Source organism: Homo sapiens, chromosome 6, assembly GCF_000001405.40.
Source record: "Homo sapiens chromosome 6, GRCh38.p14 Primary Assembly".
In the NCBI taxonomy this organism is placed as follows: Eukaryota; Metazoa; Chordata; class Mammalia; order Primates; family Hominidae; genus Homo; species Homo sapiens.
Window position 1 is genome coordinate 1,669,186 of NC_000006.12, and position 16,900 is coordinate 1,686,085.

Below are 16,900 nucleotides of genomic sequence, written 5' to 3' on the forward strand. Positions count from 1 at the left end.
AAGCGCAAAGCAGGGTTGGGCAGGCTGGGACAAGGGTTGGCTATCATAGTCTGGGGTGCTTTTTGGGAATTTCAGCCTTTTTGGGGCTTAGCCTCCTCAGCCAAGCATGCACTTCAGAGGAGATGGCCTCTGGGGTTCATTCAGGCTCCACTACTCTGAGTCTACACTCTGGAGGCACACATACTCTCTGGGATACACTTCAGAATCAGTCATCTCTGAGGTTCTTCCCATTTTTAGGATTCAATAAATGTATGAAACGTTTGTTTAGAGAGAAAAACGCACTTTGTGGATGACACCTTCCTATGTCATGTAAATAGAAACACATATTGCATGTTTTGCCATAAAAATGGGGGTGCTGAAAATGAGATCGTCATGTGCTGAGCACTTCACCGCAGCTCAGGCACCTCTGTGTTCAAACAGGGGCTTGGCATCAAGAGCTGTCACCAGCTGGGTACAGTGGCTCATGCCTGTAATCCCAGCACTTTGGGAGGCTGAGGCAGGCGGATCACTTGAGGTCAGGAGTTCAAGACCAGCCTGGCCAACATGGTGAAACTCCATCTCTACTAAAAATACAAAAATTAGCCAGGTGTGGTGGCAGGCGCCTGTAATCAAAGCTACTAGTGAGGCTGAGGCAGGAGAATCACTTGAACCTGGGAGGCGGAGGTTGGAGTGAGCCGAGATCGCGCCACTGCACTCCAACCTGGGTGAAAAAGCGAGACGAGACTCCATCTCAAAAAAAAAAAAAAAAAAAAAAAGCTGTCACCGCCGGTCCCATGATGGCTGGGTGACCGGAGAGGTCACAGGGCTTCCTTGGGAATGCAGGTGGTCGGGAGGGGCTGGGTGGGCTCCATAGGAACATCTTGGTGTCACAAACGAGGGGAGATCTTGCACACTGTTTTGAAACCCATCACGTCTCCTGGAAGCCTCAAGTCAGAGCGCTGCGCACGTGCACCGCACTGCCCCACCCCCTCAACTCCTCCCTGTGGCACCAGCAGCTCGGGGACTTCTGCCCAGCAGCCTTCCGGGACAAGGGGGTGAGAGGGTGTGAAATGACTGTAATGAGGACCACAGACAAGAAGGGATGCGCTGGTTACAGGTGTTGCATACGACTTTCAGAAGTAATATTTTTCTTGCCCTGATTTGAAAGAGCTACTTCAAAATCAAGTGTTTCTGGGTTTTTTTTGGTTTTTTTTTTTTTTCACCTGCACTAAAAATGAGGACAGCATTAGACAAATCTTTTCCACTTAATGTAACACATGCTGGAATGTGGAATTTTGTGTTTTTGAGGACTCATGAACGGTAACTAATGCTGAGTTTTTCTTAATTAATGAGCAGCTCAGATATGTAAAAGAAATTGGCTTATCTACACCGGGATAAGACAGAGAAGAAAACACTGATATGAAAAGCTAGAATATTTTCTAAGTGGCTCTGTAATTAAAAAGAACATTTAAAATGAGGAAAAGTTAATAGACTTCCATGCTCTAAATATATTCTTCCTAAGGTAATAGTTCAGTAGTGCTAGAGAGAAAGATAACCATCTCCTCGTGCCTTTTGTCTTCAGCCATACTTTTAGTTTTCATTCTGCATTCCATAGTTCCAAACGTTGAAGTCATCTGCAGGTCAAACCATGGCCTCGGGTAAGTACCTAGTACGTTTTTAAAAAATGCATCTTCATTCTGAAAACATGAAAACTCTTGCTCTGAGGCTGGATTCAATGAACCACACCTCTTACAAGTTGTTCATAGTTCCCTGCTCGCCCGGACTTTTGCTCAGAGTTTTGCTGTCACCTCATGGCTGCAGGGCTTTTTGAAATTCTAGACAATGAAGCTCATTTCCATGTTGCTCCCCTTGCAGCGACTGTGGGGGCCTTCAGAAGGCTTGAGCCTACAGACTCAGGCAAAGATCTGATGGCAGCTCCCCTGCAAACCACAGTAACCCACGAAGGCCACAGAACAATGTAACTGCTCCAAGTGTCAATCAGCGGCACTGAGCTTAGCTTTCTCGGCAACCTGTGACCTACAAAGACGCCTGCCCTTCAGAGTCTGGTGGCGGCTTATCACTCTCAATTAGGAGTTTACAGACACATTCATGTTGGTGCATGTGTTCAGGAGGCTGCTTCTCACTCGACGCCCTGTTTAGAGGAAGCAGCGACTGAAGACTGCTCCCCTGCTGGGGTGCTCTCTGGGAAGCCCCACAATCTTCAGCAGGTTGAATGCCTTGCTTTTGGGATCAAGCCAAAAACAACACCCACCCCCACGCACCCCACCACAAAAGGCTACTCTACTAAAGGGCATTATTATTTTCTGGGTTTACAGTCACAATGTATATAAATGTAAACCACCAAGCAAATACGTAGAAACACGGAATCAACGATATCATTCTGAGAATTTGAGAGGAAAGCATTTTGTCCATCCCTAAGTATGTATAAGATATTAAGGTTGGTGCAAAAGTAATCTTGGTTTTTGCCATACTTTTAATTACTTTTTTTTTTTTTTTTTGAGACGGAATCTCACTGTGTCGCCAGGCTGGAGTGCAGTGGTGTGATCTTGGCTCGCTGCAACCTCTGCCCCCCGGGTTCAACTGATTCTCCTGCCTCAGCCTCCCGAATAGCTGGGATTACAGGTGTGCGCCACCACACCCGGCTAATTTTTGTATTTTTAGTAGAGACAGGGTTTCACCATGTTGGCCAGGATGGCCTTGATCTCCCAGCCTCATGATCTGCCCACCTTGGCTTCCCAAATTGCTAGGATTACAGGCGTGAACCACCGCGCCTGGCCTATTTTTAATTACTTTCTGCCATTACTTTTAGTGGCAAAAATTGTGATTATTTTTGCATCAACCCAATAAATTTCAAAATGACAAAACTGCAGATCCAGCACCACCCACACTGTCTTATTATATTTCTACAAAAGAGTGTTTTTTCCTGGATTAGACAATGCCCAGTAATCACCAAGACAACTACATTTGGGTCTGGCTTCAGAGACGACGACTGTGGAGCATTTGAGACGTCTGACAAACTTGAGGCCATTGCTGCGCCATGTTTTCCCAAATGATAAAGGCAGCACAAGTGTCCAAGCCGTGATGCGTGAATGAGAGTCAGGATAGACATGGAGTGGAAGAACAGGGAAGGTCATAGAGAAAAGTGGGTAGCTATGATAGAAGGCTGTCCACAAGCCGCTGATTAGGGCCTCTCTGTGTGTCTGCAGGCATGTGTAAACAGAGATCAAGTGTTTTTTGCAGTTCCTGCAGGAGAGTGATGATTCTTCCAACAAAAGTCTCTGAAATTTCCCGCTCTATGTCTAACATTCTCTGCCACTATTTATGTCTTTCAGATTAGTGTAGAAAGGAGCATTTCACAATGCCTGGTTTCCTTAATAAGCAAAATCTGATGCTGGGAGATAATTCTAAGATTGGTTAAGAGGATTCCAAGAAATGGCAGACTGCAGAGGGTTCACCCGGGAGTACAGAGAGAAAACCTGTTTCATCACCACCAGACTGGGTACCTTTCCAGAAAGTGAAAACCCTCCTGTTCAAATAGGTTTGCCAGAGAATCTAAGCACCTCACCAGGCAATGGAACAGTGGTGATGCAAAATTCTGGGGTTAACTGTGCTCTGTCTGACGCTGCATTCTTCTGACCCTTTCTTAGGAAACTGCCCTGAGATGCTAGTCAGATGCTGGAGATGTCACAGGGCTGGAATAAAGGCATTCCCTGGTGTCCTTTCTGGATGTGACAAAAGAAACATCTAATTGCTGGCTGTGCACTCCCACCACTCCCAGCCGGGCATTTCAGCGAGGATTGGGAATTGCGAAGTCTATACTGTATTTTCAAACAGCATGAAACAAACATTGATCAGCCAACAGCAGCTGGCAGCGGATCCAGCAGGCCCACCAGTGGCTTGAACTTCAGTGAAAAGAGATGAGGTTTAAGATCTCAGAGAGGTCTCTCCAGTTTCAGACAGTCACCAATGCCAGCTCTGTTTTCTAGTATCTCAGGCTGTCCAGCCTGCTCATCCTCAGCTGACCGATGCCTGCACAACACTGTGGCTGCTTGGTTCAACAAATTGCAGGGCCAAGTGATCAGGGGACCACATCCATTCCCCTCCATCCCACTACTTTTTTGGCATGAGGAGACTCAGTTTTTTTCAACTTCGTGACTTCTCCTCAGTTAGGTTACCAAAGGGCTTTTTTTTTTTTTAAATAGACTTAGTATTTTTAGAGCAGTTTTAGCTTTATAGAAAAACTACACAGAAAGTACAGAGAGTTCTCACAGGACCTTTCCTCCACCCCACTCTTGCACAATTTCCCCTATTAACAATATATCTCAGAGTGTTATATTTGTTATAACTGATGAACTGATATTATTATTACCTAAAATCCATAGATTTTTACATTAGGGTTCACTCCATGGCATGAGTCTACAGATTTTGACAAACGTATAATGTCATGTATCCACCATTACTATATCATATAGAATAGTTCTGCTGCCACAAAAGCCCCCTGTGCTCTTCCTCTATCCCTCCCCTGGACCCTGGGCAAACACTGATCTTTTAACTCTCTCCATAGTTTCGCCTTTCCCAGAATGTCATATAGCTGGAATCATACAGTACTCAGCTTTTTCAGACTGGCTTCTTTCATTTAGCGACATACATTTAAGGTTCCTCCATGGCCTTTCATGGCTTGATAGCTCATTTCCTTTTATCACTGAAGAGCATTCCATTGGATGAACGTACCAGAAGTTGATCCATTAGAAGGATGTCTTGCTTGCTTCCAGTTTAGGTTGATTATTAATAATGCTGCTATAAACATCTATGCGCAGGTTTTTCTGAGGACATGTTTTCAACTTAATTGGGTAAATACATAGCCGCGAGGTTGCTGATTGCGTAGTGAAACCATCGTGCTATTTATGAAATTGCAAACATTCGTGCAAAGTGTCTAAACCTTTTGCATTCCCACTAGCAATGAACAAGAGTTCCTGCTGCTCCTCCTCCTAGTCAGCATTTGATGTTAGTATTCTAATGTTTTGCCATTCTAATAGGATTGTAGTGGTATCTCATGGTTGTTTTAGTTTAAATTCCCTAGTGACGTATGACGCTGAGCATATTTTCATATGCTTACTTGCCATCTGTATATCTTCTTTGGTGAGGTGTCTATTAGCTCATTTTTAAATCAGGTTGTTCATTTTCTTGTGGTTGAGTTTTAAGAGTTCTTTGTACATTCTAGATAATCAGTCCTTTACTGACTATGTGTATTGCAAAGCTTCTTCTCCCAGTCTTGACTTGTCTACTTGTCTTTTCACACTCTTAACAGTGTCTTTCATGGAGCAGAAGTTTTTAATTTTTCTGAAGTTCCAACTCATCAACTCTCTCTCTCTCTCTTTTTTTTTTTTTTTTTTTTTTTTGACATAGTCTTGCTCTATCGCCCAGGCTGGAGCGCAGTGATGCATTCACACGGCTCATTGCAGCCTCAACCTCCCGGGCTCAAGCTATTCTCCCACCTCAGTCTCCCAGGTAGCTGGGACACCCAGCTAATTTTTTTTTTTTTTTAATAGAGATGGATTTTTACCATGTTGCCCAGGCTGGTCTTGAACTCCTGGGCTCAAGCAATCTGCCTGCCTTGGCCTCCAAAAGTACTGGAATTGCAGGTGTGAGCCAACATGGCTGGCCCTTCAAATAGATCTTACACATAATTTTTAGACTTACAACTATTTCTTTTTTGGGGGTGTTAATGTAAATTACATTGTTTTAAATTTCTTTCTTTTTTTCTTTTTTGAGACAGAGTTTTGCTCTTGTTGCCCAGGCTGGAGTGCAATGATGCGATCTCGGCTCACTGCAACCTCCACCTCCCAGGTTCAAGCGATTCTCCTGCCTCAGCCTCCCAAGTAGCTGGGATTACAGGTATGCAACACCACGCCTGGCTAATTTTGTATTTTTAGTAGAGACGGAGTTTCTCCATGTTGGTCAGGCTGGTCTCCAACTCCTGACCTCAGGTGATCTGCCTGCCTCGGCCTCCCAAAGTGCTGATACATTGTTTTAAATTTAAAATTGCACTCGTTCGTTGTTAGAATATGGAAAACCAATTGACTGTTGTATATTAAACTTGTATCGTGCAACCTTGCTATAAATTAGTTCCAGGATTTTTTTTTTTTTTTGGTTGTTTCTTCGGGATTTTCTATATAGACCATTATGTCACTTGTGAAAGACAAAGACAGTGTTATTTCTTCCTTCCCAAATCTGCAAGCCTTTTATTCCTTTTCTTACATTATTGTATTAGAAAGGGCTTCCAGTGCAACACTGAATCATGGTGGTGGAAGAAGGGACATCCTTACCTTGTTCCTGATCTTGGGGGAAAGCATCTAGTTTCTCACCATCAAGTATAATGTTAGCTGGCTGGGTGCGGTGGCTCATGCCTGTAATCCCAGCACTTTGGGAGGCCGAGGCGGGTGGATCACGAAGTCAGGAGATTGAGACCATCCTGGCTAACACAGTGAAACCCCATCTCTACTAAAAATATAAAAAAATTAGCCGGGTGTGATGGCAGGTGCCTGTAGTCCCAGCTACTCGGGAAGCTGAGGCAGGAGAATGGCGTGAACTCGGGAGGTGGAGGTTGCAGTGAGCCGAGATCACGCCACTGCACTCCAACCTGGGCCACACAGTGAGACTCTGTCTCAAAAAAAAAAAAAATGATAAAGGGGATATCACCACCGATTCCACAGAAATACAAACTACCATCAGAGAATACTATAAACACCTCTACACAAATAAACTAGAAAATCTAGAAGAAATGGATACATTCTTGGACACATACACCCTCTCAAGACTAAACCAAGAAGAAGTTATTTGGAAAACCCCATTGTCTCAGCCCAAAATCTCCTCAAGCTGATAAGCAACTGCAGCAAAGTCTCAGGATACAAAATCAATGTGCAAAAATCACAAGCATTCTTATACACCAATAACAGACAAACAGAGAGCCAAATCATGAGTGAACTCCCATTCACAATTGCTTCAAAGAGAATAAAATACTTAGGAATCCAACTTACAAGGAATGTGAAGGACCTCTTCAAGGAGAACTACAAACCACTGCTCAGCAAAATAAAAGAGGACACAAACAAATGGAAGAACATTCCATGCTCATGGATAGGAAGAATCAATATCGTGAAAATGGCCACACTGCCCAAGGTAATTTATAGATTCAATGCCATCCCCATCAAGCTACCAATGACTTTCTTCATAGAATTGGAAAAAACTACTTTAAACTTCATATGGAACCAAAAAAGAGCCCGCATTGCTAAGACAATCCTAAGCAAAAAGAACAAAGCTGGAGGCATCACACTACCTGACTTCAAACTATACTGCAAGGCTACAGTAACCAAAACAGCATGCTACTGGTACCAAAACAGAGATATAGACCAATGGAACAGAATAGAGTCCCTGAAATAATACCACACATCTACAACCATCTGATCTTTGACAAACCTGACAAAAACAAGAAATGGGGAAAGGATTCCCTATTTAATAAACGGTGCTGGGAAAACTGGCTAGCCATATGTAGAAAGCTGAAACTGGATCCCTTCCTTACATCTTATAGAAAAATTAATTCAAGATGGATTAAAGACTTAAATGTTAGACCTAAAACCATAAAAACCCTAGAAGAAAACCTAGGCAATACCATTCAGGACATAGGCATGGGCAAGGACTTCATGACTAAAACACCAAAAGCAATGGCAACAAAAGCCAAAATAGACAAATGGGATCTAATTAAACGAAAGAGCTTCTGCACAGCAAAAGAAACTAACAGAGTGAACAGGCAACCCACAGAATGGGAGAAAATGTTTGCAATCTACCCATCTGACAAAGGGCTAATATACAGAATCTACAAAGAACTTAAACAAATTTACAAGAAAAAATCAAACAACCCTATCAAAAAGTGGGCAAAGGATACGAACAGACACTTCTCAAAAGAAGATATTTATGCAGCCGACAGACACATGAAAAAATGCTCATCATCACTGGCCATCAGAGAAATGCAAATCAAAACCACAATGAGATACCATCTCACACCAGTTAGGATGGCGATCATTAAAAAGTCAGGAAACAACAGGTCTGGAGAGGATGTGCTGGAGAGGATGTGGAGAAATAGGATGTGGAGAAATACACTGTTGGTGGGACTGTAAACTAGTTCAACCATTGTGGAAGACAGTGTGGCGATTCCTCAGGGATCTAGAACTAGAAATACCATTTGACCCAGCCATCCCATTACTGGGCATATACCCACAGGATTATAAATCATGCTGCTATAAAGACACATGCACACGTATGTTTATTGTGGCACTATTCACAATAGCAAAGACTTGGAACCAACCCAAATGTCCATCAATGATAGACTGGATTAAGAAAATGTGGCACATATACATCATGGAATACTTTGCAGCCATAAAAAAGGATGAGTTCATGTCTTTTGCAGGGACATGGATGAAGCTGGAAACCATCATTCTGAGCAAACGATCGCAAGGACAGAAAACCAAGCACCGCATGTTCTCACTCATAGGTGGGAATTGAACAATGAGAACACTTGGACACAGGGTGCGGAACATCACACACCGGTACCTGTCGTGGGGTGGGGGGAGGGGGGAGGGATAGCATTAGGAGATATACCTAATGTAAATGACGCGTTAATGGGTACAACACACCAACATGGCACATGTCTACATATGTAACAAACCTGCACGTTGTACACATGCACCCTAGAACTTAAAGTATAATAAAAAAATAAATAAAAACATTTGAATAAAAAAATTCCTTTGTTAGCCTTCTCATATCGATGGGATTAATAGTGATGGAACTTCTTTAACTTTTTATATTTGTAATTTCCTGTTTTCATTTTTATTAATTGCTGCTCTGGTTTTTATTAGCTTGAGAGATCAAAAACTCTTGGTGGCCAGCCTTAGGAGGGACCCCACAACTTGCGTGAGTTTTACCCCTTAGTAGGTTCTCAAGGCGAAGATCAGGAAAAAATCCCCTGTGCTTCTGGCAGGAGGAGGAGAAAAGTAACCATTTTGAAATATACCCAGAGGACTCTGTTCTCCCTAACAAAGGTCTCCCCTCAAGCTAGTCCACACCGCGTCTGTAGCCCTTAGTCAATCACCCTCCCAATGTTCCCACCCAATGCTGGCTCCAGTGGCAGCTGCTGCTCCTGGCAAGCTCTGATTCTTTGTATCCATCGATCTCTCAGATTTGAGCAGCCTGGTTCCCTGGTGACCTTGATTCACTAAAGGAACCAGGAAGAGCTGCTGATTTTCAGTGTGTTTGGCTTTCTTCTTGTTGTGGGGGCTGAGTGACAACTTCCTTGCTCCTTACAAGTTGGGCTGGAATCAGAAGTGAGTTCAATGGACTTTTATTTTTTTTTTTCTCCTCAACTAAATGCAACTCAGATCAACATGGAAAGGTAACACGTAAAGCAGGGACAGTGGCAAAAACCAGACAGGATGCCGGGAAGAATATTTTAACTTAAGATTCAGTCAGAGATAAAAGATTAAAATAAACTTTGTAATTATCTTTCCACATGACACATTTATAAATTCCTGTAATTTCCTGTGCCAAAATATATTTTCAGGCATCTCTTTTGATCATTTAAACTTATTTTTAAAAGCTTTACATATTTCCTTTTACACAAGTAATGGAACACAGACCAGTCAGCTGTATTGCTAAACATTACAAGGATATTATTACTTGTTTTAAACAAGTACCTGCCATAGCACATTCTGATATCTGGAATATGATTCTGACAGCAAAGCAAACTGACTAAATGAGTCCCATTTACTGAAACGACACTAGACAAAACTGCTTCTCAGATTTATGTAGCTCCAAACATGTGCATGCGTACAGAGTCCTCTCTCTCCGCACACACACAGTTGTTACGCACACAATGGAAGACATCACTGTGCTTGTGAAACCTGTGTTGAGAGCAGACAGATGGCGGTTATCAAATACTTTGGCACTCATACACAGGAGACAGTTACATCTCAGAGGAGTGTAACTTGTGTGAAGGCTAACGCTGGCACTGGATCCAAACCTGTGCAAATAGCCCTGTGACACCCTCTTCTACTGAAATATATGAATTGTTTTAGGCCATCGGGGTGGGCTGGGAAAGAGTTTTAAAATATAAATAGAGACCAGGACAATGACTATATTTATTTAGAGGTGACAACATCCTTAAATAATTTAGGTCAGCTGACGCAAGCGCTGAGAAGCTGAACAACTGGCATGGTGCTCTATCTTCACTGCCAGGCCAGGCAAGGGGGCCCCAGCTAATGCTGCTCCGTGCTGATCTGCTCTCTGCTCCTCATACCTGTTGGTATCGACCTTGTAAGAAGGTTCAGATCCATGAGTGGCCCGTGATGACTGAACACTAAATGGATGTTGGGAGAAGCTCATCTCTCTGTGGATGCTCTCTACTCACGCAGGCCACCTCGAAGGAGAAGTCTGATTACTGCAAGTTGTTACAGTTCAGTGTATACGATATTTTGATAATACACAGAGAGTGTTTCATTGCAGTCAAATAATATCTTGAGCTCTCACAACAGCAAACTTCAGGAACTTCAAAGGAATTCCAGTCCAACTGGAACCGTCATTACAAAACAAATCTTAGCTTTATTGTTAGCCAGACCACAAAGGGGCAGAGACTGTGCCAAAGTAAATGCTCTTGAGATCTCTATATATTACCTTTGAACAATTAATTGGTCTCCTGGAGACAAGGAAAAAAAAGGAAAGAAAACAAAATAAAAGATTGACAATGAAATATATTGTTCTTGGATGTCACAGCCTGGATAAGCCATAGCCACATTGAACAAATACCTGCCAAATTGATCATTAATTTCAACTAGTCTGTAATTTCACACATTAGGCTAAGTCTTGTACACTGAAATTACGCGCACTTTGTAGATGATATTTTCAGCTGGTCACAAAGAGGAAATTCTACTGCCTAAGAAAATAGGCATCCAGATATTCAAAGACCGGGCCTCAGAGGTGAACTTCACTTATATGAGGCATTTCTCTGTGCTACCATGAATTCTTGATGTGCGCCCTTCATCCACCTGCTTCCTCGTGGCACCTTCCAAACCATCCAGACATGACTCTAAGTCATCAGGTTAATGAACAGGACAGGCAGAGAGCTGAGTGGCAGTAAATAAACAGGGCCTGACCCCTATCAGAATTTAAATGTTTTGGGATCCTGACCCCAACTATCAGCATTTGCCAACATTGCTAGTTCTCCTCTTATACCTCTGCCTTCCAAAGTACCACACCAATGAGGGTGCAGGCCAGGTGTTAGTTCTGATCCGGCACCGTGACCTGACTTCTCACACGGAAAGCAGCGTGGACCTTCTGGCCTCCCTCCCTTGGGCGCCCGGCCAGGACACGCAAGGTCATACTGCTGAGGCCCTTTGAGATCCTCGAGTTAAAGGGGCCCATAAAGGCAAAGTGTCATGAACGGCGTATGTTCCAGGTGCATCACTTGAGCCGCCAGAGCCACATAATGGTTTGCCTGGTAAGTGCCTTTGCCCAGCATGTGCCCATTGAACAAACCACAAAAAGATGACTGCAAAGGGGTCTTCTTATAATAGGGCCTGGTGCCTGGTGGATGCCCAGAGCCCTTGCCATTTCTGAAATGGACATAAGTGACCTAAAAGGCAGCTTTTCATGACAGGTTACCCTGGATGATGTTTCCTAAAGAAAAGTCACATCAGTGGGTGAGACAGAATGTAACAACTAGTCTGTTCTCTCTCACCGTTCACATTTACTGTTGCCTCCTCGGCAGGGAGGATAAAAAGAAAGAAGTAACACAAATATACTCTCACATACATCGAATATACATACACATGCTCACACATACACACACAAGTGCACAACACACTCATACACATACGTACACCTACAAATACACACACTTACAGATACACACACCTATATACACACACACACACCTCCCCCACCGAGAGGCGATGAGCACAGGGCATGTGCCAATGCAGAAGAGGACTGTGTCTACACACCTGCCTCCTCACAGTGTCCTGCCACCCTGCCGCCAAGACACGCTGGTACTTGTTGGGCTGTGATAAAAGCTTCTGCTTGGCTGCCATGGGTGACATCTTACTACAGATTCTGTTACATGGTGGGATATGTCACTGCATTTTCAATCTGCTGTGTTCTAGCATCTACAGTCCCAAAATGGCTCAAGAAGAAAGTGGTCCTACAGAGGTCAGAATCTGAGGTTGTAAGAAATTATGAAAGCTCTGCCATTCAGGACAAGATGGAAATCAGTGTGGCTCCAGGTGAGGAGGACCAGGCGGTAGACCCAGGCGCACAGTGGGAACAGTCTACGACTGCCAGGGAAGGCCTCCGGTGGAGAGTGGCATCCGCCAGCTCCCTGGCAGCCCCAGGCAGAGAGGCCAGGGGATCTCACCAGCAACCCCCACCATAAAGTGCTGGAAGGTGCTAAAGAGAATGCCGTGAATCTGATTTTCAAAACACCACTCAGTGTGTCTGTGCAGAAATGCACTAAGGCTGGAGTGCAGTGGCACGATCACAGCTCACTGCAGTTTTGACCTCCCTGCACGCTGGTGATCCTCCCATTTCAGCCTCCTGAGTAGATGGGACTATAGGCACGCACCACAGTGTGCGGCTAATTTTTGTATTTCTTATAGAGACAAGGTCTTGCTATGTTGCCCAGGCTGGTCTCAATTCTTGGGCTCAAGTGATTCATCTGCCTTCGCCTCCCAAAGTGTTGGGATTACAGGCGTGAACCACTGTGCCTGGCTTTTTTTTTTTCTTAATATGGAAAGATATGAGATTTAGATTTAGAAGACCTGGCTCCACGGTATGGCCCCTTCACTTACAAGTCTCCTGGCCTTCAGTATTGCGTATGTCTAGGTTTATGAAATGCCTTTTCCTCCCAAAACTTTGATGTTTGTTAAATACCTATGTTTTACCTTCCCAAGTAATGCAATTATGAGTAATTTCATGATATGTCTTTATTTTATTCTATAATTTATTTTATGACAAATACAAAGGAAGGAGTAAAAGGAATCTATGTCCCAAAAGATAGGTACACTTCATAACACCTTCAGACAGAAAGAGGCAGCAGTGTCTGAGCCCAAACGAGCTCCTCTGCCAACCCCCGCCTCCTCAGGCCTCCACTGCTACCAAGCTCAGCCTCACTGCTGGCATTTCTGGTCAGCCCACATGAAAGAGATTGAGGCTTGTGCCCTCTGGCCATGCTGGTGCCATTGCCACTGGGAGGACCGGGGACTCTGTGTGCCCACTAGGCCAGGCAGGCGGGCAGGCCAGTCAGTGAGGAATCTGCCCCAGTGCTGATGGCCTTTCATTTTTTTTTTTTTTTTTTTTTTTTTTTGAGACGGAGTCTCGCTCTGTCGCCCAGGCTGGAGTGCAGTGGCGCAATCTCGGCTCACTGCAAGCTCCGCCTCCCGGGTTCACGCCATTCTCCTGCCTCAGCCTCCCAAGTAGCTGGGACTACAGGCGCCCGCCACTACGCCCGGCTAATTTTTTGTATTTTTAGTAGAGACGGGGTTTCACCGTTTTAGCCGGGATGGTCTCGATCTCCTGACCTCGTGATCCGCCCGCCTCGGCCTCCCAAAGTGCTGGGATTACAGGCGTGAGCCACCGCGCCCGGCCTCATTTTTTTAGAAAGGGAAATCTGGATATTTGGGTGAAATTTACTGACATTTTAATTCAATTAAAGAAAGCACTTCTATTGGCCTAGTTGGTCCTAGAAGCCCCCAATATAAGACCCGTGGCTGGGTCATGGAGACGGGGTAAAACCACGCACGTGGGTGAGCACGTGGGAGTCTCACTATGCCGACGTCGACATCCTGTCTCTTTGGGACTGGCTCCTACAGCACACATTTTACTCCAGGGATGGCTCTAGGTTTCTTTTGTTTGTTTTTTGAGTCAGAGTCTTGCTCTGTTGCCCAGGCTGGAGTGCAGTGGTGCAATCTCGGCTCACTGCAAGCTCTGCCTCCCGGGTTCACACCATTCTCCTGCCTCAGCCTCCCGAGTAGCTGGGACTACAGGCGCCCGCCACCACGCCCGGCTAGTTTTTTGTATTTTTAGTAGAGACCGGGTTTCACCGTGTTAGCCAGGATGGTCTCCATCTCCTGACCTCGTGATTTGTCCGCCTCGGCCTCCCAAAGTGCTGGGATTACAGGCGTGAGCCACCGCGCGCGGCCTGGATGGCTCTAGTTTTAAAGGTCTTAGGATATCTGCCTCAAGCCCTGTCATAATGGAGAAATTATTTTAACCCAAGAAACTCTGGTGGGAAACATGTGAGAGGGCCAGGAATCCCGGGTCTGATGCACCATCTTCTCCCACCTTTAGCAAATAGGATGTGACCACTGCCCTCATGGCTTTCAAGGATGAGGATCGGTTATTACATAGAAATGACACGATACACGCATTTGGGGGAAAAACCTTTAGACATGAGAGGTGCTTTTGTCTCACTTGTGTTTTTCCTAAACTTGATTTTTAGTTAGTTTAGAAAGTTCCCTTGGACACGTTCAACTTTTCATAACTCGTGAGATGAAGTAGTAGGCTCTTGGCTTCTGACATTCAGGTAATCACACTGCACCTGTCCTAATGTCCTCTAGGTTATGAACAGAAGTTTTTCTAAGTTGAGGCATAACACATTTTATACTGTAATAGAAAGAGGGTGGGTTTTGCGATCGGTAGGCCTGGATCCGCCCTCTATCAGCTATGAGGGTGGGGTTTGCCATCGGTAGGCCTGGATCCGCCCTCTATCAGCTATGAGGGTGGGTTTTGCCATCGGGAGGCCTGGATCCGCCCTCTATCAGCTATGAGGGTGGGTTTTGCCATCAGTAGACCTGGATCCGCCCTCTATCAGCTATTTTTTTTGTATTTTACACCACTCACTCTCTTCAGGCCTCAGCTTCCTCCTTGGTGAAGTGGGAGTCACAGAAGTAGTGACTTCACCGTGCTGTGTGAGCATCCGCTGAAGTCGTATGGAAACACCAGGATGTGGGGCGGCTGGAAGTCTCCCGTGTTGCTGGTGGGAATGCAACAGGGCAGAGCGGTTGTGGAAAACAGCCTGAGCCTGGCCACAGACATACTTCCCAGATGAACCGTGGGCTCACTCAAACGTATGTAACCAGAGCAATAAAAACACATGTCCACACAAACCAGGAATGCAAATGTTCACAGCAGCAACATTCGTATCATCCCCAAAGGAAACAACCCAAATGAGCTTCAGGTGAACGGCTGTGCGGCAATGCATCCACACGAACGAAGACTATGAAATGAATGAAAAGGAACGAACAGACACACCGGGGAACATGGTAAATCTCAATGACATTGTGCCAGGTAAAGGAAGGCCAGCACAAAAGACACATACTGAAGGATTCCATTTACACAACATTCTAAACTTACAGTGACCAGAAAAGGGGCGGTGTTGGGGGCAGGACTGACTACAAAGCAGGAGGAGCGAGCTTTTTGCTGGGGCTGGAGATGGTCCTGTCTTGGCTGTGGTGATGGTTACACAACTGTATATGGCCAAAACTCATCAAATGTACACCCTTAGTGGGTGATTTTTATTTTAAATAAATTATACCTCATTAAAGCTGGGGGTTAAACCGAGTCCAGCACCTGGCACCAAGTAAATATACACAGTAAATTATTCATCCTCTTCCTGTTAGTTGCCATTTAGAATTATCAACCTGTGCCTGCCACTGAAGCCACAATGATGTCAGGCTTAAGTGTTGCTTTTCTCCTTCAAATACTATGACACAAAACTGCTCCCTCTCTCCCCCCCCTTTTTTTTTAACTACTTACCCACCTTAAAAAAAAGGTAGACTTAATTAACACTTGTAAAGCACCTTGAGACACTTGAATTAAAAAGTAATAGAGGAGGCTGAGTGCGGTGGCTCATGCCTGTAATCCTAGCACTTTGGGAGGCCGAGGTGGGCAGATCACTTGAGGTCAAGAGTTCGAGATCAGCCTGGTCAACATGGTGAGACCCCCGTCTCTACTATAAACAGCAAAAAAATTAGCCCAGTGTGGTGGTACATGCCTGTAATCCAAGCTACTTGGGAGGCTGAGGCCGGAGCCGAGATCACGCCACTGCACTCCAGCCTGGGTGACAGAGCGAGACTCCATCTCAAAAACAAAAAACAACAAACAAACAAAGTAATAGAGGAGTATCTGGCACTGCTATTGCTCTTCTGTTTTCAATGATGCAAACAGTATAGCTCTTTGTTTGCTAAGCGACTTTAGTAAGGGTTTTTTTTTAATTAAAAAAAACTGTTTAATCTGAAAATGAAATTCAAAGGCCTGCTGACAATATATTCCTCGTCTCCATTCATGCCAACAATGACTATGCCAGCGTTTGCAGATTTATGCCCATGGATTCCCAGATTGGGAGACAGGAAATGGGTGTCCATCCTCCCCCACCTGCAGTTCCAAGCTGGCCGCACAGAGCACAGGGAGGTTGGTTGCTCAGAACGTGGCCATAACATTTACCAGGAAAAACGGAGTGAAGAGGAAGGATGGGAAGGAATGGAGGGGCACAGGATGGAGATTTTCCCAATCAAGTTGGGGAAAAGTATGGCTGTTTCACTCAGCATTTCTCTGCTTCACTAATTAAAAATGATTTTAAGAGCTAACAATTGCAAAAATCTTCTTAAGCTTATCAGTGAATTCCTGAATATCCCCTGGTGAAGTCTTCCTTTGGCATAGACGTGCATGCCCGAATCTTAATTTCTCTCTAGCATTCTGGGTGATCATGCCATAAAGCACAGGCCGTGGAGTCATTTTCTGAGACAAGAAGTCGCTCCACATTGGGCTTTCTGGCTGGTTCTTTTTGGCCGTGGGTCTGGTTACA

General features: G+C 44.7%; 1 protein-coding gene across 4 annotated transcripts in view; it reads right to left on the bottom strand.

Annotated features, from left to right (window-relative positions):
- GMDS (GDP-mannose 4,6-dehydratase) overlaps positions 1-16,900 on the bottom strand; it is a 621,800-nt gene that overhangs the window by 45,380 nt on the left and 559,520 nt on the right. The gene's annotated exons all lie outside the window — the stretch shown is intronic.